Source organism: Homo sapiens, chromosome 21 (genome assembly GCF_000001405.40).
Source record: "Homo sapiens chromosome 21, GRCh38.p14 Primary Assembly".
NCBI lineage: Eukaryota > Metazoa > Chordata > Mammalia > Primates > Hominidae > Homo > Homo sapiens.
In genome coordinates this window covers 30,395,013-30,420,301 of record NC_000021.9, presented here as the reverse complement: position 1 = coordinate 30,420,301, position 25,289 = coordinate 30,395,013, and the positions used below count along the sequence as shown (strand labels likewise).

The window sequence follows — 25,289 nt, the reverse complement described above, 5'->3', positions numbered from 1 at the left end:
TTTCACTCAACTTAATGTTTTCGAAAAGCTTCATGTGGTGATATGTTTTATTCATTTTATTGGTGCCGTATATTCCCTTTTGTTAATAATATCACAATGTGTGTATTCTTTCATCTATTGACTGACATCAAATTTTCTCAAGATTTAAAAAATAGAGCACAATGAATATTGATTGTTCCAGTTTCTTTTTGTGAACATATGTTTTTAGTTTTTTCTCGGGGGGAAGAAAACCATGAATGAAATTTCTGGACCATAGAGTCGGCATATGCTCAACTAAATTAGAAATTGCCAAACAGTTTTCCAAAGTTAGTTTCATTATTTTACTATCCCACCAGCAATTTCCTAGACGCCTACGAACTCCATCGTCACCAACATTTGCCATATTTCTTTCAGCCATTTGCTAAGTGGCATCTCACTGTGGTTTTAAGTTGCATTTATTTGGTGACTAGTGATTTTTATACACCTTTTTTATGTTTATTGGCCATACCCATGGAATCTTTTGTTTAGTGTTTATTTTTCCCTCATTATTGTTATATTTTTATTGATACTAAAGTTGAATTTTTTTACGTATTCCCAAAGTAGTTATTAGTATTGGTAATTTCCTATGTATTGTTCGCCTTCTTTTTTGAAAATAAAAAATCAACTTTTATCTTAGATTCAAGTGACACATGTGCAGGTTGATAACATGGGTATATTGCATGATGCTGAGGGTTGGGGTACAATTGATCCCATCACTTAGGTACTGAGTATAGTACCCAACCAGTTTTTAATCCTTGCCCCTTTCTTCTCTCCCCACTCTAGAAGTTCCCATTGTTTATTGTAGCCATCTGCATGCCCATAAGTACCAAATGTTTAACTCCCACTTGTAAGTAACAAGATATGGTATTTGTTTTTTTTGTTCCTGCTTTAAATTCACTTAGGATGATAGCCTCCAGCTGCATTCCTGATGTTGCAAAGAACTTGATTTTGTTCTTTTTTATGGCTCTAAGTATTTCATCGTGTATACGTACCATATTTTCTTTATCCAATCCACTGCTGATGGACACCTGAAAGAGGTCCCAATCCAGACGCAAGAGAGAGTTATTAGATCTTGCACAAGAAAGAATTCAGGACAAGTCTTTAAAGTGAAAGCAAGTTTATTAGGAAAGCAAAGGAATAAAAGAACGGCTACTCCATAGGCAGAGCAGCCCCGAGGGCTGCTGGTTGCCCATTTTTATGGTAATTTCTTGAGTATATGCTAGACAAGGGGTGAATTATTCCTGTCTCCCCTTTTTAGACCATAAAGGGTAACTTCCTGATGCTTCCATGGCATCCGTAAACTGTCATGGCGCTGGTGGGAATGTAGCAGTGAGTATGACCAGAGGTCACTCTCGTCTCCATTTTGGTTTTGCTGGGTTTTAGCTGGCATCTTTACTGCAACCTGTTTTATCAGCAAGGTCTTTATAACCTGTATCTTGTGCCAACTTCCTGTCTCATCCTGAGACTTAGAGTGCCTTAACCATCTGGAAATGCAGCCCAGTAGATCTCACCCTTATTTAACCCAGCTCCTATTCAAGATGGAGTAGCTCTGCTTCAAACACCTCTGCTATTTCCCCCACTTTTATAAGAAAACTCTTAATCCTAAGGGTTGCTGAGGGATGAAGATCCATCTTCTGTAACATCTTCAGGCTGAATACGGGCGATGATATTCCTGCCTAACCATTAGGGTCTCTTGTGTTCAGGGTAGAGAGGAGCTCAGTTAGAAAGAGTTGGTATGCTGAGGGTCATTTATAACTCTTGAGTTCTGACAAAAGGTGATATCTGGGAGATTAATTAAGTGTTCAATTTAAGAAAACATTTAGTAAGCTTATTCTGCATTCCTATACCAAGAGTACAACAGCAATATATTCCACAAGAATAAAGCAAAACAAGTAAAATTATCCCAAACAAACTAAATTAGAAGACTTTTCATGAACTGGGCAACAGGTGGAACCAAGCTGATGTGGGGTTGCTAGCTATTTGCAATGTGCCCAGAATTAACTGATTTAGATTTTTACATTACCCATCCTTCTTGTTTTTTCTGAGCAGCAGTTAGAGATCACTGGTTGGTACGCAAGAATAAGTAGGGTTAGCCTACATTGCAGAAACAAAGTTATAAACAACTGATGAGATGAGAATTTAATAACAACTGTACCATAGTTCTGGAAACATAATATTTCTCTCTCCAGTTTTTCATTTTTACTAAAGACAAATCATGATAAGACTTATTGGCTTTATTATACTTGGCCTGATTATTTGTATAAATGGCAGAAAGAATAATTATTTTGTTACATAAACTCTTTTTAAATTGTCTTTGATGGAACTCTGCTCCATAGAAGGACTCGTAGGTAAGACTTTTTAAGAGCCCAGCCCAGACATGGGTTTGCACCTTCAAATATCTATGAGTTGAGTAAATTCCTCTCCTCTTGGGGTCCCAAGATAACTTGGGGCTCCTGGACCTGTTAGAGAGTGACATTCTTCACTTACCACAGGTCACAAACCCTATAAGGGACTATGGTAGACAAGGTGTAAGGCCAGGTTCCCAGGGGCTTTTATAGGCTTTACAAGTCAAGTTTGATTCCTTAAAGGAAAACACACCATTCCAGACAAAGCTGTGGTAAAATAACCAGTTTCTCCAATGGTGTCCTGCTGCAAAAGAAAACAGATTCTTACTGAACTTATGCAAATAACCATATAACCATAAATTAAGAATACTCACAAATATGTGTTTCCAAATTCTGGAGAAATCAGCTAGAGAGAAACAAATATGCTCCAAATTTTGTTCACAGGAGTATACTCTACTCAATTGTCAAAGGCTGTAAATAGCTCTAAAGAAAAATTTCCTTCATTCTGAAAAACAAAACAAAGAATCAGCAATGTTTTAAGCAAAAAGATAAACGGATTACTTTAGACTTCTTCAGTTTATTCCATGAAGTTAATTTCTGTTCTGCTTGATATTCATGAACATTTTAGCTCTCCATGAGACTTCTGGAAGTTGTTTTCTCTGTTCTGATGTCACAGTCTCTAAAGTTATCAGAAATCTGTATTCAAGTGTACCTGTTGGAGTTCTGTAGCTGACTATAAAACCACCTTCTAAAGAGGACTAAAATGAGACAACAATTATCTGTAGGTGACAAAACGTCTTAGGACAGCCACAGTCAAAAACATGATTGACAGAGAAATTTGGTTACCTCTGTGCCATACAATGACAATTATAATTATTAATAATATATACTAAGTCATATTAGAATTATAGGGCTTTCCCATTATTTTGGAACATATACCAATGAAACATTTATGCAAATACAGCCCAAAGAAAGCCAAACACCATTTCACATTTGAGAATGCTTTTCGTATAATTTTTATACCAAATAAGCCAAATGTCACTGTTGCATTAACGCATTATTGATGTCAAACCCAATTCTTTATAAAACCTTATATAAATAAATCTATCCAGTTGTAATCAGTTTGACCATAAGGTAAGATCCTCATAAACCTTTTTAAATTCTTTACAATGTTTGTTAAAGAGCAGATTATATGCAGGCTTTTGCTTTAGGAACAACCTGCTGTGCTTTTATTCCAATGTTTAATTTATGGAAAAACTGAGTAATGCCCCTTTAACTTTAGCCAATATGTTCACACACAGAATCTCTTTTACAATTAATTTTTCATTTTCACAAACCTTCCACAACTTGCTAAAACCTTCATCTTTATCCTATTTAGCTTAAAACAATTCTTAACTCTCTAACCATAGGCAAGAAATTCACATTTCTATGTCTTCTTATACTCTTTTACCAAAAGTACATCCTACTTTCCTGACATGACTTGTGTGTAAAATTGGGTTTTTTTGGTAGTCTCAAACACATGTTGCACTGTTGACTCTTACAAACTTTTCCTTTTCATGAAAATCTTTGTTAAATTCGGGATTTTAATTATGTACTAGGCGTGGAGCCTAGGACAGCAGACAGAAGTGCAGTTAAGGTTTGACTCTTCCTAGTGTCTAACTCCATGTGTCCCAGGCTTTACCTAGCTGTAAACCAGGCAAATTGTACATTTAAGAGTCACAGATGCCTTTTATGAAGCATTTAGGAGGCCTAATCACTTTTAAATGTACAACATTTCGTGCATAAATTCCCTCTCACGAATCCTTTCAGGACTTACATAGGCCATGTACAACATGTTTAGACTTTCTGACTTGCCCTAAACATCCCTCTTTTTAAACAACCAGTTATTTTACTTTAGGACAATAATTTACCGTACAACATCCTTTCTTATATAAAAGCTTTCTTTATAGCCTTCCTTGCATAGCTAGGGGGCACGGCTAATTCCACATGTCCTCAGGCCTTATCTAGAATCTAATGCTTCAAAATGAATTGAACAATTTTAAAAGACAAATAAGCAGTTTATAACCTTAAAGCATTTAGCAAACTAAATAGCTGACGTATATGATTTAGACCAGATGTTTACATTTTTGAAGATATTTTTATTTTGCCAATAATCTTTAAAATTGTTTTTTATTTCTCAAAGATTACTTAAGTCATGGGAACCAAAAGGCATTACACTTTTAACTTTTCTGACAAAATATTTGATTTAAGCTCTTATTGTTATTAAACCAATTAGTTAAGTCTTTTTCATATACAAACATCACATACATAATACATAAAAATACTTAGGGCTGGGTGTGGTGGCTCATGCCTGTAATCCCAGCACTTTGAGAGGCTGAGGTGGGCGGATCACGAGGTCAGGAGATTGAGACCATCCTGGCTAACACAGTGAAACCCCATCTCTACTAAAAATACAAAATATTAGGCAGGCATGGTGGCAGGCACCTGTAGTCCCAGCTACTCAGGAGGCTGAGGCAGGAGAATGGTGTGAACCTGGGAGGCAGAGCTTGCAGTGGGCCGAGATCATGCCACTGCACTCCAGTCTGGGAAACACAGGAAGACTCCATCTCAAAAAAAAAATACTTAGACAGAAAATAAAGGACTCATTTTCTAAGCCAGGAATTGAACCTTAAGCCCAGTCTGCCATTGTGAAAAGAGAAAGCATGGCCACATGGTTACAAGGCCAAGCTCCCAAAGATGGACATACAAGACAAGAAGGAAATCTCATCCAGTTTTTTCAGGGACCTGTGTCAAACTTTCTAACTGACAAGTTTGCTGGGCCATCTTGAAAAACACACCTGGGTGTCCTAAATCCATGTTCTATCCTAAGGTACACCTTATTAGGACAGAATAATACAGAAAGACACACAAAGCACACCCTTTGCTACAGCTTAAGACTAGCCTTATAAATCCTTTTTTCCATTAAGCAAAACTTTACAGGAGATAAACAGTGAATTTTACCATTCATTCAACCTGCTTGTTCAGAGAGGGAATAAAAAAAGAGGGAGAGAGAGAAGGAGGAAAGCATTGCCTGAGTCAGAGTGGGGAAGGTGAGATACTCAGGAAGGTCAGAGAATGACCCACCCATTGCAGCAACACTAAAAATTTTAGGTGGCTGCTTGTCGATGGCAAACAGATCTTTTCCAGCAGTCCCATCAGCTCTCAAGTTTCCCCTTTTTGAGGGAGGAAAAAGCTCCCCATATTCATAATGATCTGTACATGGCTAACCCTTTCACCCATGGCCATCAGCAAAGAGGGCAAGGCAGATTAATTTAAAGAGAATAGTGGTTAACATCCCATAGAGCCAAACCAGTTCTTATCGAAAAGGGACTTCACCGAGAGGGGCCTCTAACCCCCTAAATCTTAGGTTCCTTAAAAGGGACTCTAACCCTCCTAAGTTGGGCTTCTAACCCAAGGTCTGTCAAGCGTCCTTGCCTTTTATTAAGAGGGGCGTCTAACCCAATCTGTCTTAGGAGAGACTCTAACTCCCCTAACTTGAGCCTCTAACCCAATCCCATTCTTTACCTGGGTACCCCAACACCTGCCCAAAGTTGGCTGATCAGAGCTGCAGTCTGTTTCCTTTGGATCAAGCAGTCTTCTAAGTATTGCCCCTTCCGTGGTTCACCAAAAAGATGTTACTGGACTCTACCAGTTACCCAAAGTTACACTTTGGGTCATGGGTTTCCCACTATAGTCACTTCTGCACTTCTGTGGTCACCAGAAAGATGTTACAGGAAAGAGGTCCTGATCCAGACCCCAGGAGAGGATTCTTGGGTGTCACACAAGAAAGAATTCCGAGTAAGTCTTTAGAGTAGAGTGAAAGCAAATTTATTAGGAAAGTAAAGGAATAAAAGAATGGCTATTCCGTAGGCAGAGCAGCCATGAGGGTTGGTTCAAATGCCTCCGACACCTAGGTTAATTCCATGTCTTTGCGAATGTGAATGGTGCTTTGATGAGCATACGAGTGTATGTGTGGTTTTGTTTGTTTATTTGTTTGTTTTTTGGTCAAATGACTTACTTTCTTTTGAATATATGTCCTGCAATGGGATTGCTGGGTCAAATTGTAGCTATGCTTTAAGTTGTTATTTTTTTATAGTGGCTGAAGTAATTTACATTCTCATCAACAGTGCATACGTTTTTTCTTTTCTAGACAGCCTCGCCAGCATGTGATGCTTTTTGACTTTTTAATAGTAGCCATTCTGACTGGTTTGAATGCATCTCATTGTGGTTTTAATTTGCAATTTTCTGATGATTTTTATTTGAAATGTGTTCCATATTTTTGTTGGCTGCTTGTATTGTGTGTGTGTGTGAAGTGTCTCTTAGTGGGGTGATTTGCTTTTTGCTTGTTCAATTGTTTAAGTTTCTTACACATTCTGGATATTACATCTTTGTTAGATGCATAGTTTGTGGAATTTTTTTTTATTCCATAGGTTGTCAGTTTACTCTGTTGATTGCTTCTTTTGCTGTGCAGAAGCTCTTTAGTTTAATTAGGTCCCACATCAATGTCTGGTTTTGTTGCAATTGTTTTTGAGGACTTAGTCATAAATTCTTTCCCAAGCTGATGTCCAGAATGGTGTTTCCTAGGTTTTCTTTCAGATTTCTCATAGTTTGAGGTCTTATATTTAAATGTTTAATTCATTTTAAGTTAATTTTTGTATATAGTAAAAAATAGGGGTCCAGGTTTATTTTTCTGCAGATTGCTAACTAGCTATCCCAGCATCATTTATTGAATAGGGAGTGTTTTCTGTATTGCTTATTTTTGCTGAAGTTGTTGAAAATCAGCTGGCTGTAGGTGTGTAGTTTTATTTCTAGGTTCTTTATTCTGTGTCATTGGTCTATGTATCTGTTTTTATATCAGTACCATCCTGTTTGGGTTGCTGTAGCCTTATAGGACAGTTTGAAGTCAGGTAATGTGATGCCTCTGGCTTTGTTCTTTTTGCATAGAATTGCCTTGGCTATTTGAGATCCTTTTTTTTCCATATGAATTTTAGAATACTTTTTAAAAATTCTGTGAAGAATTAAATTTGTAGTTCGATAGGAATACCATTGAATCTGTAGATTGCTCTAGGCAGTATAGACATTTTAACGGTATTGATTCTTCAAATCCATGAGCATGAAAATTTTCTCATTTGTTTGTATAATCTATGATTTCTTTCAGCAGTGGTTTGCAGTTTGCCTTCTAGAGACCTTTCACCTCTTTGGTTAGATGTATTCCCAGGTATTTGATTGTTGACGTGACTATTGTAAATATTATTTTATTCTTGATTTGGCTCTTAGCTTAAATAATAGTTATATATAGAAATGCTACTAATTTTTTACATTGATTTTGTGTTGTGAAACTTGATTTAAGTCATTTATGAAATCCAGGAGCTTTTTGGCAGAGTTTTTATGGTTGTCTAGGTATGGAATCATATTATCCACAAAGAGATACAGTTTAACTTATTTTCCTATTTGAATTCGTTTTATTTCTTTCCTTCTCCTGACTGCATTAGCTAGGACTTCCAGTACTATGTTGAATAGGAGTAGTGAGAGAGTGGACATCCTTGTCTTATTCCAGTTCTCAAGGAGAATGCTTCCAGATTTTTCTCATTCAGTGTGATGTTGCCTGTGGGTCTGTCATAGATGGCTCTTATCATTTTGAGGTATGTTCCCTTGATGCCTAGTTTTTTTTGAGGGTTTTTTAACGTAAGGGAATATTGGATTTTATTGAAAGCTCTTTCTGTCTGTTGAAATAATTACTTGGTTTTTGTTTGTAATTTAGTTTATGTGGTAAATCACATTTATTGATTTACACATCTTGACACAACATTACATTCCAGGAATGAAGCCTATTTGATCACTATAAATTAACTTTTTGATATGCTATTGGATTCTGTTTGCTAATTATTTGTTAAGTTTTTATTGTGTTTATTTTATTAGGAATATTAGCCTGTAATTGTCTTTTCTAATTTTGTTTTTGCCATGTGTTGTATCAGAGTGATGCTGGAGTCATAGAATGAGTTAGGGAGGAGTCCCTCCTCCTCAATTTTTGGGAATAGTTTCAATAGAATTCGTACCAGCTCCTGATTGTACATCTGGTAGAATTCAACTGTAAATCCATCTGGTACTGGGCTTTTTTTTTTTTTTTTGGTTGGTAGTTTTTTTAATTACTTATTTAATTTCAGAACTCAATATTAGTCTCTCCAGGGTTTCAATTTCTTCCTGATTCAATAGAGGTATTCATAATAGTCTCTGAGGATCTTTTATGTCTCTGTGAGATTCGTTGTAATGTCACCTTTTTCATTTCTGATCATGTTTATTTGAATCTTATCTCTTCTATTTTTTGTTACTCTAACTAGGGATCAATAGGTCACTAGTTAGAATCATCTTGTTTATCCTTTCCAAGAACAAACTTTTTGTTTAATTGATTCTCTATAAATATTCAGGTCTCAATTTTTTTCCATGTGTGCTTTGATTTTGCTTGTTTCTTTTCTTCTGCTAGATTTGTGATTAGCTCGTTATTGTTTTTCTAGTTTCTCTGGGTGTGATACCAAATCTTTGAGATCTTTCTAACTTTCTGAGGTAGGCATTTTGTTCTACAAACTCTCCTGTTAACACCACTTTTGCTGCATCCAAAAGATTTTGGTGTGTTGTGTCTCAGTTTTCATTCATTTCAAAGAATTTTTAAATCCTGCCTTGATTTCATTTTTTAACCGCTAAGTCATTCAGGCTGCTTAATTGCAATGCAATTGTGTGGTTTTGAGGGAAATTTTTCATATTAATTTCCATTTTTATTGCACTGTGATCTGAGAGTATGATGAAATGAGGTTTGTTTTTTTTTTAAATTTATCGAGACTTATTTTATGCCTGAGCATGTGGTCAATCTTGGAGCATGTTCTGTGTGCAGAGGAGAAGAATGTATATTCTGTGGTAGATGGGTAGACTATTCTGTAGATATTTATTAGAGTCAAGTGCCGAGTTCAAGTCTAGAATTTCTTCATCGGTTTTCTGCCTTGATTATCTGTCTACTGCTGTCAGTGGGGTATTGAAGTCTCCCCACTAACATTGTGTGGCTGTATGTCTTTCTGCAGACCTGGAAGTACTTGTTTTATGAATCTGGGTGCTCCAATGTTGAGTGCATATATCTTTTTTTTTTTTTTTTTTGAGACCGAGTCTCACTCTGACCTGCCTTGGCCTCCCAAAGTGCTGGGATTATAGCCGTGAGCCACCATTCCCGGCCGAGTGCATATATCTTTAAGATAGTTAAGTTTTCTTTTTAAATTAAATCCTTCATCATTATGTAATGCTCTTTTTTATTCTTTTACTGTTGTTGATTTAAAGTCTGTTTTATCCAATATAACAATAGCAACTCCTGCTCTTTTTCCTGTTTTCCTTTTGTGAGATAGATCTTTGTCCATCCCTTAACTTTGAGCCTATGGGTGTCATAGTGTGTGTGAGGGGTCTCTTAAACACAGCAAATGAATATTCTTTTTTAAATTCAATTTACCACTTTGTGCCATTCAATTGACACATTAGGCCATTTACATTCAAGGTTAATTTTGATATGTGAAGTTTCTATCTTATCACGAAGTTGTTAGCTGGCTGCTTTGTTGATATTCTATTCTGTGGTTGTATTATAGGGTCTGTAAGCTATGTACTTAAATATGTGTTTGCGGCAGCAGGTTTTTAACTCCTTTAAGCTCTCTTGTAAGGCTGTTCTAGCGGTAATAAAGTCCCTTAGTGTTTGCTTGTCTGGAAGAGATTTCATTCCTCCTTTGCTTATGAAGCTTAGTTTGGCTAAATAGAAAATCCTTGATTGGAATTCCTTGTCTTTAAGAATGCTTAAAATAGGCCCCTAATCTCTTCTGGCTTGTAAGGTTCTGCTGAAAAGTCCACTGTTAGCCTGATGGAGTTCCCTTTGTACATAATCTGACTTTTTTCTCTAGTTGCCTTTAAAAAATTTTTTTAGCATTGACCTTGGACAGTCTGGTGACTGTATGCCTTGGTGACATTCGTTTTGTATTGCAAATCACAGGTGTTCTCTGGATTTCTTATATCTCAATATCTATCTCTCAATCAACATTAGGGGAATTTCATTAATTTATTCCCTCAAATATGTTTTTCAGGTTGTTTACTTTTTCTCCTCTCTCAGGAATACTAATAATTTGTAGGACTTGTCACTTTACAAAATCTCATATTTCTCAAAGACTTCAGTTTTTTTAAAAAATCATTTTTTTAAATTTTTGTCTACCTAGGAGAGTTCAATATTCAAGCTCTAAAATTATTCTTTCTGTTTGGCCCAGTCTATTGATAAAGCTTTCAAGTGTACTTTGAAATTCCCTAAGTGAGTTTCTCATTTCAAGAAGCTCTGAATTATTTCTTCAGATGTTAACTCTTTCTTCATTTCCTGGATCGCTTTAGAAGTTTCTTTCTGTTGATTTTCAACCTTGTCTTGGATCTCATTGAGCTTCCTTGCCATCCATGCTTTGAATTCTTTATCTATCAATTCTGAGTTTCCATTTTGGCTAAGGACCATTGCTGCAGAGCTAGTGTAATCCTTTCGTGGTGTCACTACAGATTTTTCATGGTGCCAGAATTCCTGTTCTGGTTTCTTCTCGTCTGGAAGCACTGGTACTTCTAATTATTGTAATTATTTTTGTGGGGTAGTATTTTTTCTTTTTCTTTCTTTCTCTGTTTTTCTCTCCCTTTCCCCTTCCTACTTCCTTAGGGGGTGCGACTGCAGAGAATGCTGGGTAGGGTTTTTGGCTTTGCTTCTATAGCCCTACGCACTCTGTTGGCATGTTTTATACTGGACTGTGTGGTTTGACTTGCAAGTCAGTAGATGGCGCTGATGGGAAACAGCCAGCTGCAGCCGACGTGGCTACGTACGTAACTTGATCCTTGTTTACTGGGAGAAGCTCTCTGTTCCCTCAGCCAATGGGCTGATTTGTGGAGTGCGCAGTGGTTTGAGTTCCCTGCTCAGCTCCATGGGAGCAGCGGCCAAGATGGGCAGGGCCAGACTTGGCAGTTCTGCCGACAGGTCCCCTGATGACAGGCACAAGCATCAGCCTTGAGGGAGAGTTCTGTCGGCAGACACCAAACACTCAGAGGCGGGTCAGGTATGGAGGTGTGAAAGCTCCTCAGTCCCAAGATCTCTGCAAAGGTAGAAAGGGTGCCCTAAACTCTTAATCCAGGAGAGAGGGTGCTCCAGATGCCTGGATATTTACACATATCAGTGACTCTAATACCATCTGTTGAAAAGACATGTTTTTACATTCGAATTGACTTCACATCTTTGTAAAAAATAGGTAGCACACATGTGGATCTGTTGCATAACTCTATTTTGTTCCACTAATTTAATTATCTATATTTAATTCCAGTACCATAATATTTTGATATACATCTTCCTATTTTATTTCTCCTTTTAAAGATGGTGTTGCCTATTCTTCCTCTGTTAAACTTTATAAATTTCAGTCAATTTTTCAATTTTTGGCAATTTTGGCACTTTTGTTTGGAATGTTTTGGATCTGTGAATTTGAGATAATAAAAATTATCCCTAAATTCATAGATCCATGATACGATTCAAGATCTATTCCACAAATGATATGTTTTGATATTATTACAATATATTTTAACTTAATTTTAAACTTAATTTTTCATATGCTTTTCATTTGTATAGACAAATAAAATCAATATTTCTATAGTAATTTTATAGATTACTTAGGATTTTCGATGCGAGCAGTCGCACCTGTGACTAGAATGTTTTACCACTTATTTCCTGTTATTTTTATTTTTATTTTTTGCTTTTTCGTTATAAGACCAATAGTTCAATGTTGACTAGAAATGTTTTGGGAATGTGCAGTATAGTTGATTTGCACGTGTATGTATGAGTGTGTAGTGTGCTACATTCGTTTCTGTTTATAACAATAAATATGTATCTTTTTTGTTTTAAGTGCCTATTGTTTACAGTATCAAGTGATATCTGACCAGGGAGACATGTAAAAGATGATTGATATTATTAATTGAGCTAACTTAGAAGGCATCTGCAACAACACGCCTCCTCTGCCATCCCCAGCGAGCCTGAGAACTCCATTTTCAAACTCTCTCAGCTCGGAAAGTGGGGTCTTTACATACAGCAGTTTATTAATTGAATTTCTCCTGTTCAAGATCACGACATTCAATATACCATCGTATCCTGACTACCTCACTCTTTAAATTTCATTCTAATTCAGTTTAGCTCCAATTTCAGAAGAACTTTTAAACATATATCTAAAAGTTGGAGCTATCTTGAATATCAAAATCACAAGAACTATGAGAATAGCTAAGGGAAATATGAGAAGGTAAAGTAAAATGACCAAAGCAGAGAGAAAAAAATGCATATTTTGTATTTAGGGAAGAAGTGAAATTTAGTTGGTGTACAGTAAAAGAGGGTTTATGTAGAAATGTGAGACAGAACTTGCAATGTAGAATGAGTACATACAGATAGTCTGATGACTGGATATCACTAATCATAGGTTTTTATCCTTTTCATTCAAATTAGTGCAAAGCACCTTCTAATTGGATATGCTTATTCCAGTTTCTCACCCCAATCAAGCTATTTTTACTCACTCTCTAGACTCAGCTGATAGGATACTTTCTTTGGGAACCTTTGCTGACTTCTAAATAGGTGACATCTCTTCGTTAAGTGTTCTTATATGTTGAGGCTGCTTATTCACAGCTTTAATAGCAACTATAATTAAATAATTATTTGGTTAACATCGATTAAACCTGCTAAATGGTAAGTTCAGAGAAACGAACTGTATTTTAAAAAATTGTTTTAAAATTTTCTCATTATATGGTAGCCTATGAATGGATGCATTTTCCTTGAAAAATATAATAAAATATTTTTTCATCATGCATTCCCTAAGAACAGAGCCAGATGAATCTTATTTTGAAAAGTGACAAAATGCTACTGAGGCATGACTAATGAAAAATACAGAAGTTAAGGTTGGGAGGAACAAAGTTGTTATCTGTAATCACTAAAGTGACAAGAATAAATAAAAATTGGTAAAATCAATTGCATATAAATGATTCATGATGAGCTTCCTGGGAAACTGAATACAGTAATTCCTGGAAGTCAGAACCACATGCTGGCCAGTAGCTAGATGGATGGTAATTTCTGGAAATACAGTTGCTAGGGCAGCAGGAACTTAAGACCTGAACCCCCAGATTCAAGACTCACAGAGCTAATGAATGTAACAGATCAAACAGGGAAGGCAGCAGTGGAAACCCACACCACTGGTAGAGGCAAAGCCCATGAGAGATCTAATAGAAATCTGGTAGAGAGCAGGACTGCCTTCGTAGGGAAGTGGAGATCTGGAATCACTGTTGCTGAGTTGCTGGAATATAGGGAGAAATCTACCTTAATCCTGGTAAATTCAAAATGTTGCAAAAGAGTCAGGGATTTCGGCTGGCCATTTTTAGAGAAACTTTAATATGGCATTGGGATAGTTTCTTGAGATAGAATGATAAAGTTTATAATGATAGAGTTTATAATATGATGATAAATTTATCGTTATTTCATCCTGAAATTAGATATTAATCTATTTAACTTTAGTACCAGTTTTGATATTGCAAATTTATTGTCTCCAACATTATAACTACCAGTTGTGTAAGCATGCTTCACTATATAGTTGTGTAATTATTATTGAAACTATCATATTAGTCTTTAAAAGGTAGTTTGCTTTTCTAACTAGAGTATTTCCAGAGGCCAGAGAACCACTTTTATATCTAAAATAGGCATATCATTTCCATTAATCCAAGATGGCTTTGGCTTAGCCAGAAAGTATTCTTTAATGTTAATGCTATTTGTGTCTGTGTTCTAGATCTCTAAGATGGCAGAAACTCACAGATGAGAATTCTATATATAGAGCTAACTTGAATTATAACATTTTTTAAATTATGAAAGTTATAAACAAAATTAGATCAAGTTCACCAGGGAGCATCGAACATTGTCATTCCAATTTCTGTCACAGAAAACTGAATAGAACCTTCCATATTTTCACTCATTATTTCAATCCCTTTGGATTTCCCAGTAAAAGTCTACTAACCATGATTATTACCCAAGCAATCTAGTGGTGATGAGGATGGTGGTGATAATGGGGAGGAGAAGAATAAGAAAGAGGGCCGATGAAGGGAGGGAAAATGAGACCACAGGACACAATTGAAACTGCATTAAAATGAAACTTAGGAAGCAGGGTTCCATCCTCTGCTTGCTGCATGACCTGGAAACTGCCTCTTGGCTCGCGCCTGTAATCCCAGCACTTTAGGAGGGCAAGGCAGGTGGATCATTTTAGCCCAGGAGTTTGAGACCAGTCTGGGCAACATGGCAAAACCCTGTCTCTACAAAAAAATAAAAATAAAAAATAAAAATAAATAATAAAAATAAATAAACAGAAAATTTGCCAGTTGTATTAATACATTTTCATACTGCTGACAAAGACATACCCAAGACTGGGTAATTTATAAAGAAAAAGAGGTTTAATGGACTCACAGTTCCATGTGGCTGGGGAGGCCTCACAATCATGGTGGAAGGCAAAAGGCACATCTTACATGGCGGCAGACAGAAGAGAATGAGAACCAAGTGAAAGGGGTTTCCCCTTATAAAACCGTCAGATCTCATGAGACTCATTTACTACCACGAGAACAGTAGGGGGGAAACTGCCCCCATGATTCGATTATCTCCTACTGGGCCCGTCCCACAACATGTAGGAATTATGGGAGCTACAATTCAAGATGAGATTTGGGTGGGGACACAGCCAAACCATATCACCAGGCATGGTGGCATGTGCCTATTGTCCCATTTACCCAGGAGGCTGAGGTAGGAGGATCACCTGAGCCCAGAATTCAAGGCTGCAAGGAACTGTGATCAAATCACTGCACTCCAGCCTGGGCAATAGAGTGAGACCCTGTCCAAAAAAAAAAAAAAAAAAAAGATACTGACTCTTTTAGAGCTCAAGTGCCACCTTAATACATTAAATTTAATTTGGTGATCTACACAGTTTCTTACCAGAAAGAGTGAAACATTCTCATTTTTTAAAGGAATGGCACTTTTGTCAAGTCTATGATTCTCTTAGAGACTGTATTTTCTCATATGCAAAAGAACCTTAGACTATGAGTGAATTCTCTCACAGGTCTGCTTGAGGGTGTAAGGAGATGATGCATAGAAAATTTATTTAAAGATTGGTCAGCTCTACACAAAGGTGTCATTTTGCTTTTAATTTTAGCTCATTTACAACCAGTCATATTTTTGACAACTTATTATTTTGTGAAATACTACATTCATGAAAACTTAGAAAGTAACCATTAAAAGAAAATCAAATAGCATCCTTGTTTGTGAGATATAACTAAAATAGCCATATTGGCTGCTACAGAAGGTTATTTCCAGCTACACTGAGTTTGAGCCATGGGAAAGCACTAACATGGAACCCACAGCTTCCACGTCTATATCCTTTCCCCCATAGGTTCAGTTATAATCTACTTACACACACTCAGAGAAATAAATCAGTCTGGAAGCCAGTTGGTGAATGCAGGGATTCAGGCAACTTTGCACCCAAAATGGGGTGAATTCAAAGATATTTACTAAAAGCTCATAGGCAGCTGGGCACAGTAGCTCACTCCTGTAATCCCTGCACTTTGGGAGGCGGAGGTGGGCAGATCACCTGAGGTCAGGCATTTGAAACCAACCTGGCCAACGTGGTGAAACCCCATCTCTACTAAAAATACAAAATTAGCCCGGCGTGGTGGTGCACGCCTGTAATCCCAGCTACACGAGAGGCTAAGGCAGGAGAATCGCTTGAACCCAGTAGGCAGAGGTTGCGGTAAGCTTAGATCGCGCCATTGCACTCCAGCCTGCGCAACAAGAACAAAACTCCATCTCAAAAAAAAAGAAAAAGAAAACGAAAAAAGCTCATAAGCAATCTTTTCTCAATTTTACAAACATGAGTTCTCTGTTTGTTTTGCTTAATGTGAGCCATGTCATATAAGCCTGAAGTGTCACCCTGCTCTATGTATTCCTGGTGCTTGTACAGCTTCTTTGTTCCCTCCTCCTGTTAGCAGCAACACATGGGCAATGGTTCATGGAGTGAATTAAGCTCTTCTCTGCTCCTGAGGTGTTTAGTCAGAGAATGCTTCACTGTCAAATTCTGAACTACTGGGAAATTATTACTTTAAGAGAGTTAAAAACTCTGAGGATATCGGTTAAGGCTTTGTATACAAAGCTCATTCACAGAGAACTATAGATCTTTAATTTTAATAACACAAATACACAAGAAAATAACATTAGAAAATGAATAGATAACAAGCCACCACATTATTCCAGGGTTAAAAAGTTTATTACCCTTAAATCATGCAAATTTTATTTTGAAAAGAAAATTTGTTAAAATGAAATCTATCACAGGTGCTGGCATCAGACTTTAAATGTGAGCTATTATTCAGTTGAGCACTGGCAATACACTTTTTAAAGGGTAAAATATAAGCAGATGTAAGACAAATTAATTTCTGGTGTTTAACTTAAAAAATCTCATACAATTGTAAATTAATCAATGCCATTTGTAATAATTCAAACGTTAAAGAAAGAAATACCACAATGGAAATTAGACAATATTTTGAAATACATGATACTGATGATAAAATGCAGTAAAATTTGAGAGATTTAACTGTTTAGAAGGAAAATTTTAGATTTTAATGAGAATATTAAAAAGCTTGAAATCAAATTTTCAGTACTTTATTTGAGGATGCTAGGAAAAAAAAATAGCAATTTAAGCCAAAAGAAATGTCTGAAATTATAAAGGTGGAAAATTATGACGGCAAGAACAGAAGCCAATTAAATAGAAGTCAAACATAAAACAGAAAATCAACAGAGTCAAATTTAGGTTTTGTGAAGATCAATAAAATCAAGTAGTTCAATTTTAAAAGAAGCATAGAGAAAAAAGGAGTCAGTAACTGCACAAAATTTATATAATTATCTGAAAAAAAAATTTTGTTTTTATATTCCAAAGCAGAATTAATTTCTCCTCCATTTCCTTCAGTAAGGTTAAATGTCTTAGCCTTCTCCATTCTTTCTGTTTTTGAAACACTTCTTCAAAATAGTCTTCATGGCAAAACATTAGGGTAGCCACATGATGAATAGAGAGCAAAACTACTCTTAGCTAAGAGTAGAAAGTTAACCAATTTGTTCTGAAAAATTATAGAATTCTAGTTCATGTTCTCTGCACCAATCAAAGAGGCTTGTAGACACATCTGTTTCATTTTATTCTAATCTCTATTTCTACACTTGTATTATTGTGTGAATGATGTGGGGGTATGAGAATAGAGACTTGATATGCAACCAGATCCTGGTTAATCCAGCCCCAAGATTCTATTGGTAAGGTCTGTACAGTGTAGGCATCCAGGGGTAGTTTGATTTTTCATTTAAGCATAAAAGATGAATTATTTGTCAACATTGTGAAAATAGAAAATTTCAAAATTTGTGTGCTTTTCATTGTGAAAATATTGGCTTGCCATTTTCTGGTTTGTGGATTTGCATCCCTGATGTGTAGATTGAATTATTTCAGATCTGAGGGGTGCTGTCCAGAGACTATACAACTTATTTTTGCAGCTTTACCCACTTCTTCTAAAAATTGCTGATCAATTTATTACCAATCAGCCTTGGTCAAATTACTTATTTTATCAATAATTTGTGCAGATTTAAAATTTATGGGTTTTTTTCCTTCATTTTTGAAGGATATATTTAACTGTCATCAAATTCTAGGTTGATTATTTTTCTTTTTCAGCCTTTCAAAGCTATCATTCCATTTTTTTCTAACTTTCAATATTTATGCTGTAAATTAGCTATAATTCTTATTGCTATTTCTCTAAAAAATGTGTAGTTTATAAAATTCTGGCTACTTTTAAGAACTTCTCTTTATTTCATTTTCATGAATTAATTATTGTATGCCTAAGTCTGAATTTCTTTATCTTTATTCTGATTTCAAAATCCCAAGATCCTTGGATCTGGGGGTTGAAGGGATTTTTGTTGTTGTTGCTTGCTCGCTGTTGTGGTATTTTTGTCAAAAACGCAACATTTTGACTAATAGCTTTTCTATGCTTTTTTCTGGCCCACTTCTGCTGGGACTTCTGTTACATAATTTTTAAATTGCTTAATGTTTTTCAGCAAGTCTTTAATAACTTACTCTGTCTCATTTTTCATTCTCAATTTCTTTGTGTACTTAGATAATCTTTTCTAAAAAATTTATTTTCAAGTTTATTTATCTTTGTTACTGTCTTGTCAAATATTTTCTTCATTCTATCCGATACATTTTATTTAAAACTTTTATCTTTCTGTTTGGGGATATTCATTGGATTACTTTTTATTATTTTCATATCTTAAAGTTTATCAATTATCTTAATATTTTCTTAAATCATTCAAATATCATAGTCATTTTACAGTCAATGCTTGGTAATTCTAGTGTTTTTATTAAATGTGAATTTTCTTCTATTAAATGTTTTCCTTTGGCTAACATTTACATGCCTTTTCAAGTATCTTGTAATGTTTTATTGCATTATAGGCATAGAAAAGCTGTGGCTTGTGGCATATAAATATTACTATTTATACACCCATACATTTGTGTGTGCATGCATACATACACACAAATATACATCTGCAAATATTTTTATCATTTTCCAGAGAATATAATCCCTTCCTTGTGCATTTTAGAAAGGTAAAGAGCTTCTCAGTAAAATTCCTCAATTAATTGAGTTAAACAAGCACCGTTACCAAATTCAATCAGCTTGATTCCACTTCCAATTTGTCTAAACTGCAACCAGATCCTGCCACTCTCTGATCAGTGCTCTTTATTATAGTCTATATTTCATCTAGTGGGGAGGTTGGTCTATAGTTTCAGAGTGTTTAGTATTTTAGTTTGCCATTGGAATTGTTTTAGATTTGTTCATTCTAATTATTGTATTTTATATTTTTAATATTTTTGTGTTTAGTTATATAGATAATGGTATTCTGTCAAAATTCTTAAATTTGTCTTAAATTTTTTAAGAACAATAATAACCACAATTGTTTTTCTGTATATTCTAATACCTTCATCTCTTGTGGATTTATTTGCACTCTGTATTGTCTCTTGGCTTGGTCATATCTTGCTTTTTTATAGAATTGGTCATTTTTAATTAATTACCATAGGCAATTTGAGAGTTTGAGTGGTTTTATTTGCAGACAAATTTACTTTGGATATAGCATGCTGGGATAATGTTACTAACACTCCCATATCACCAAGATCAATGCAGTTCAAAGGTTGGCTTCAGTTTCTATGAAACATATTCTATATATGCTTGCTCTTAAAAATTCTGATAGACTATTTAAGATCCTTACCAAAAACTTAGCATGTTCACGTGTGTTCCCAGGTCCTTAGAAGGTCCTGTAGTCTGATTGCTTGTGGTCATTCAAGCCATGAGCCCATTAATATCCTTTTTTTTTTAAATCAATGAACAATTCTGGGAAGAAAGCAGCTTAACTGTCAACACTTCCTTTGATTTAAACCATCTCCTAATTTTGTTCCAGCAGTTCTTAGCCTGAGTGTGCTCTAGAGTTTATATGAGGATTGTTTTATTCAGTTTTACTAGGGATCTTATTGATAGGGTTGATTTGAGCTACCAAGATTTGCTGCTGCCAAAAGTTATATTATCTAAATAATATCATATTAAATTTCGGTATATAATAGTGATGGGTAAAAAGGTTTATTTTATTATATATGCAAAATTACTTAGAATAAGCAGAAAACCTGGAAAGAGAATTATCAATCATAAATTTGTTCCAGTAAAATGAATAAGTGGAGGTGAAACCTAGGATTATTGTCACTAAACACTCAAAATGATGAGTTTCAAAATGATGGAGTAATGAATAACCATTATAAAGGTCTAGCCCTAGTTATTCTCTGTTTATTGTAAATTAACTGTCCAAACATTGCCTAAACATAAAAGGTGCTTTTGTACATCCTCCATTTCTCTTCCATTTTTAAAACAGACATTTATTGGTCATATTACTCTACTTTTGAATTTTTTTAATATTTGAGGACATGTATTTGTTTTCTTATATTTTTTCTTTTCTGTTTAAAATTTAGCTTTTAATCCCAGTTGCTTTGATGAAGGTAAATTTCTTTTTAAATTTTTTTCCCACCTCTGGCTGCTTTAAGTTTTTCTCTTTTTCTTTCCTGTTCCTCAGTGAGATTCCAATATGCCTAGTTATGGGCTTGTCTTCATATTTATCATGCATGGGATTTTTAGTAGTTCTTGAATATATGGATTTGATATTTCCTCTATTCAAAAATTATCTTTGGATCCCCTGTGAATCTGTTTTTATTACATATGACTTCTCTTAGATTTAGTGATATGTGGACTTATTTCTAGCCATATGTACACACACACACACACACAGAGAGACACATAATTTTGTTTTAGGACTCTAGCAGCAACTATGTTAGACTGTTTCACATGTTCCATAGTCTCTGAAACTCCTTTAAATATTTTAATAATTTTTCTTTATTTTTTTTGTTTGTATATATTCTAGTGAACAATAACTAATTATCTCTTTAGCCATGTTTAATTTTGTTTTAATCCGTTCACCAATTCAATATTTTAATTTATCACATTTTTTAATTTTAAAATCTGTTTTTGGTTCTTTTAATATACTTCAGTACTCTGCCAAAATTTTTCATCTATCTTTTTATTCCCTAAGCATGTCAAGTGTAGTTATTTAACATTTATGTCTAATATTTTCATTTACTGAAGCTCTTGTAAGCCTAATTCTGCTACATATATCTATATTTTGGATTTAATAATTTCTTAACTTCTGAAGCCTGGTAAATTTTTGTTGGGTACTAGACTATATCTGCGTCTTCATGTGTATCTAGATATAACTATATCTGCAATGGTATCTATATCTATATATAAATAGGTATCTATATTTACATTTGTATCTAAATTTATCTATATAAAGAAATAATTTAGAGCTCACTGTGATGTTATCCTCCTCCTGGAAGAATTTAAATTTGATTTTGGAAGGATAGAACAAGAACCCTGGTATTCCTATATCCTCTTAACTTAAGCACTGAAATGATTTGGAGCTGAACTTCAGCCTCTCTTTTGGATTTGACAACATTCCTATTCTAAAAGTAGTCATGAATTCCATGGCTTTCTGCTTGTTTATTTATCAACACCTTTCTTAGATTTTGGCCCTGGTAATTTCTAAATATTTTCACATGTATGTTTATATATCAAGACCTTTCTTAGATGTTGACACTCATAATTTCTGAATATTTTCACATGTATTTTCCTTGTCTAGATTTTCTAAACAAAAGACATTAATTATAAATTGTTTTTTCATTTGTAAGCATTTGATTTTAACTTATTTAACCTTAGGTATGAACCTAATAATTTATACCTAATCATTGGATAAAAGATTTCTTTTTAAAAGTACATAAGTGATTAGAATAGAAGAGAAAATGGAATAAAAGTGCCCAATCTCGGCCGGGTGTGGGGCTCATGCCTGTAATCTCAGCACTTTGGGAGGCCGAGGCGAGCGGATCACCTGAGGTCAGGAGTTGGAGACCACTCTGGCCAACATGGCAAAACCCCGTCTCTACTAAAAGTACAAAAAAATTAGCCAGGCGTGGTGGTGGGCACCTGTAATCCCGGCTACTAGGGAGACTGAAGCATGAAACTCGCTTGAACCCAGGAGGCAGAGGTTGCAGTGAGCAGAGATTGCGCCACTGCACTCCAGCCTGGGTGACAGAGCAAGACTCTGTCCCAAAAAAAAAAAAAAAAAAAAAAAAAAAAAGTGCCCTATCTCAAGACTGTGTTAGTAGTTTGAATGAACATGTTTGTCATTACCACACCATATTAAATCACTTTGCATTGTAACTGAGCTAAATTTCCAATAATTCCTTGAATACACAAAGACTTTCAGCCCCTTCTGCTTTGCTTATTGCGTGTAATCTTCCCAGACTTCTCCCCTCCGATATTTCTGTCTTTGCAAGTCAAAAATTTGCAGCTCCTTCAAGATATCGTACAATAAGTTTCCCTGTACATTCCTTATCATCTTTGTGTCTCCATATTTTTACATTTAACATCATTTACATGTATAATGGATCTCTTTCTCTAACAGCTGTTGTCTAAAGGAATAATGCATGGGAATAGTTATTGAACGTTGTTTGAGCTCTTTTTTTCTTCTCAACTTTAGGTTCCTTATTGAAATCTATTTATCTTCACACCTGTTTCTGGAACTGCTTTGCCTGAGAAAACAAAGAATGCTACCACAAAAAAGAGAAATAACATTTCCCTAATTTTATGCTCAGATGTGAATTAAATTATCACTTCTGATGATATCAAAAGGTTATTATCTTCAGCTTTACTTAGTGTGAAACATGAATACAAACCAAGGTGGAATATCAATCCTCCATTCAAGTTTCATGGTATCCCTTATTACACATATGTAGATAACTGAATCATATTGAATTCTCATCAATGAGATGCAGGCATTTGATCATGATTACCAACAAATATTGGGTGACTTCAAAAGTTACTTCAAATCACTTTTGTTTCTCTTCAATTCCATTTTTCTTTTATGTATATCTATAACCATATTGTTCTAAATAGTATTTTTTTCTCTGCAGATTCCTGATATAACTATCAACTAGTTTGCTACCTTATGCTTGTTGGCATAGACACAAGAATCCACATTTTATAAGGGGATCAAGCTAATTCCTGATTCTGATATTTTAATGAATAAAAGTCTGTAAATTTAGTAGACTTCCACTACCTGTAGTTTGAATAACAAAAATCTCTGAGGCCCCCAAAAGTTTGTCTGAATCGCAAACTTCATATGATTTTGAAACCTATTCCTATATATATACACCAATTGTTTCATAATAATTGCCTAATACATCACAACCAAAACCCTAGCAATATAAAACCACCACAAACATAGCTGAATATGAGACCAATGGATTTATTGGATTAAAATGATTTGACTTTTTATACAATTGTGGAAGAAAATCGAATAATATAAATTCTACTTTTAATGTGTATTTCAAGATTTATTTTGAGCTAGTTCTCCAATTACAGTTTTTCAGATGAAGCCTGCCAGCCAGTATTTGGGGACAAAGACAAACTGAGAACTTGATAATTATAGAATAAGAGGCTAATTCTTTCTGTACATGATGAAGACAATAAAGGTTATGAGTAGAGGCATTGAAGGCATTAGCCAACAAAATCAGCAATTTAACAAGATGATCAATAGTAGAAGCCTGATCCACAAGTTGGTCTGTAGCAAGAAGACTGGCAGCTCCTAGAAGCCAAGTAGGTTGGGCGGCAGAATCCAACGCCATAGCCCAGGGAAGGGAAGCCACAGCCTCCATAACCCAGGGATCTGAAGCCACTGGACCCACAGCCCACTGAGTAGCAGCTCCTCGATCCATAGCCCAGGGAGCGGCAGCTGCTGGATCCAAAGCCTAGAGACCCAGAGTAAGTTGTCTGGCAGGGACTGCAGAGCAAGGAGGTTCTGGGACGGTAGCAGGAGGTCTGGCAGGGGCTGGACTCCACATAGGATGTCTGGCAGCTGGTGGGCTCCCAGCAGGTCTGCTGACAGCCCCTATAGAGAGAGGAACCCAGCTGGCACGTGCTGGGAGAGCAGAGGTCAGTGCTGTAGACCTGGTTGCTGGGGTAGGAAAAGCCACAGGAGGAGGCTGGGTAGTGCAGGTAGCCACCACAGGAGCGGGAGGAGAAGTTTCCAGAGCAGCAGTTGTAGGACATGTTGATGGGAGATGTGAGTTCAGCTGAGTTACACTGAGAAGATTCTGAGTTTGCATGCCACATCTGGACAGGACCATTTATATACGTTCAGCCGTGGGTGTGGCACCTTACAGGGTCATCCTTCACACATTTAAGCTCCCACATTTCATATAAGCAACTTAGTAATCTTCTTTGTCATTGCAGTTAACTAACACCCTTCATCTTATATTTATGGAAGAACTCCTTTTGTTTTTACAGCTCTGCGTCAATGAAATGCATTTATGTTACAAATGCTATGACAGTATGTGATTAGTCCCTACTCCATTATGTCCAGGAAAACCCCTCTTATTTTCTCTGCCCATGATTTATACATCTGCTCCTGTTTTGGCTGGGAAATTCTTTCTGTCTTGGGTGGGGATAGCAATGTATTCATCTTTTTTTGTCAGTGGCCTAGAGGCAGAAATCTTATTGTTCACACTCTCCAAAATAGTTTGCCATCTGTTATTTACTATAATCAGTGCTTGTAAGTCCAGTCTCGAGGGCCTATATAAAAGTAAGCCAAAGGAATTGAGAGATAACTAGACATAGATATCATCTTGAACAAATTTTTTTAAAAAATTAGTATTTAGAAAAAAGAAATCAAAACAAAAGCAAAAAATAAATAAATACAAATACAACAATAAGGACCCATGTGAAAAAAAGGAAAGTAGAAGACACTGCTGAGATGAGGTAGGAAACAAGTCAGAGTAGTCACAATAGCAGAAGGATGCTCAGGACTCCATCCTAAAAGCAAATCAAAATGCTTTCAAATAAACTTATTTGATGACTTTTGTATGATGCATTCATATTTGTAAGTGTTCTGGAGCCTACCTGTCTACAACACCTCTAAACCCCCACCTCAAAATGTTGACTGCCTTCTGAGCATTTGCGGGGTAACACCAGCTTCTATGTTTTTCGTGACTCTGTCCCAGCCCTCTTTAAAGAGGTGGATTTAGGTTTTGTGGTGTTGAAAAGTATAATTTGGAGATCCTCATTAAAAACACAATATTAGGAATATAATAATAGATATAAACATGGATATTAACTTAGAATAAA

The 25,289-nt window shown here is 35.6% G+C and overlaps 1 protein-coding gene and 1 long non-coding RNA gene across 2 annotated transcripts in view, besides 1 other annotated feature; one reads left to right on the top strand and one right to left on the bottom strand.

Annotated features, from left to right (window-relative positions):
- LOC105372772 (uncharacterized) overlaps nucleotides 1-25,289 on the top strand; it is an 82,493-nt gene that overhangs the window by 55,407 nt on the left and 1,797 nt on the right. The window lies entirely within an intron of this gene.
- KRTAP13-1 (keratin associated protein 13-1) lies at nucleotides 23,480-24,271 on the bottom strand. Its single transcript, NM_181599.3, has one exon. It carries the CDS (start codon nucleotides 24,213-24,215, stop codon nucleotides 23,697-23,699), a length of 519 nt encoding a protein of 172 aa, NP_853630.2. The 5' UTR covers nucleotides 24,216-24,271; the 3' UTR covers nucleotides 23,480-23,696.
- Nucleotides 23,914-24,415: an enhancer, noted in NCBI's record as "H3K27ac hESC enhancer chr21:31768205-31768706 (GRCh37/hg19 assembly coordinates)". NCBI's record gives its function as "activates a minimal SCP1, AML or CMV promoter by ChIP-STARR-seq in naive H9 embryonic stem cells {active_cell/tissue: H9 hESC(naive)}" and the evidence as "EXISTENCE:reporter gene assay evidence [ECO:0000049][PMID:30033119]".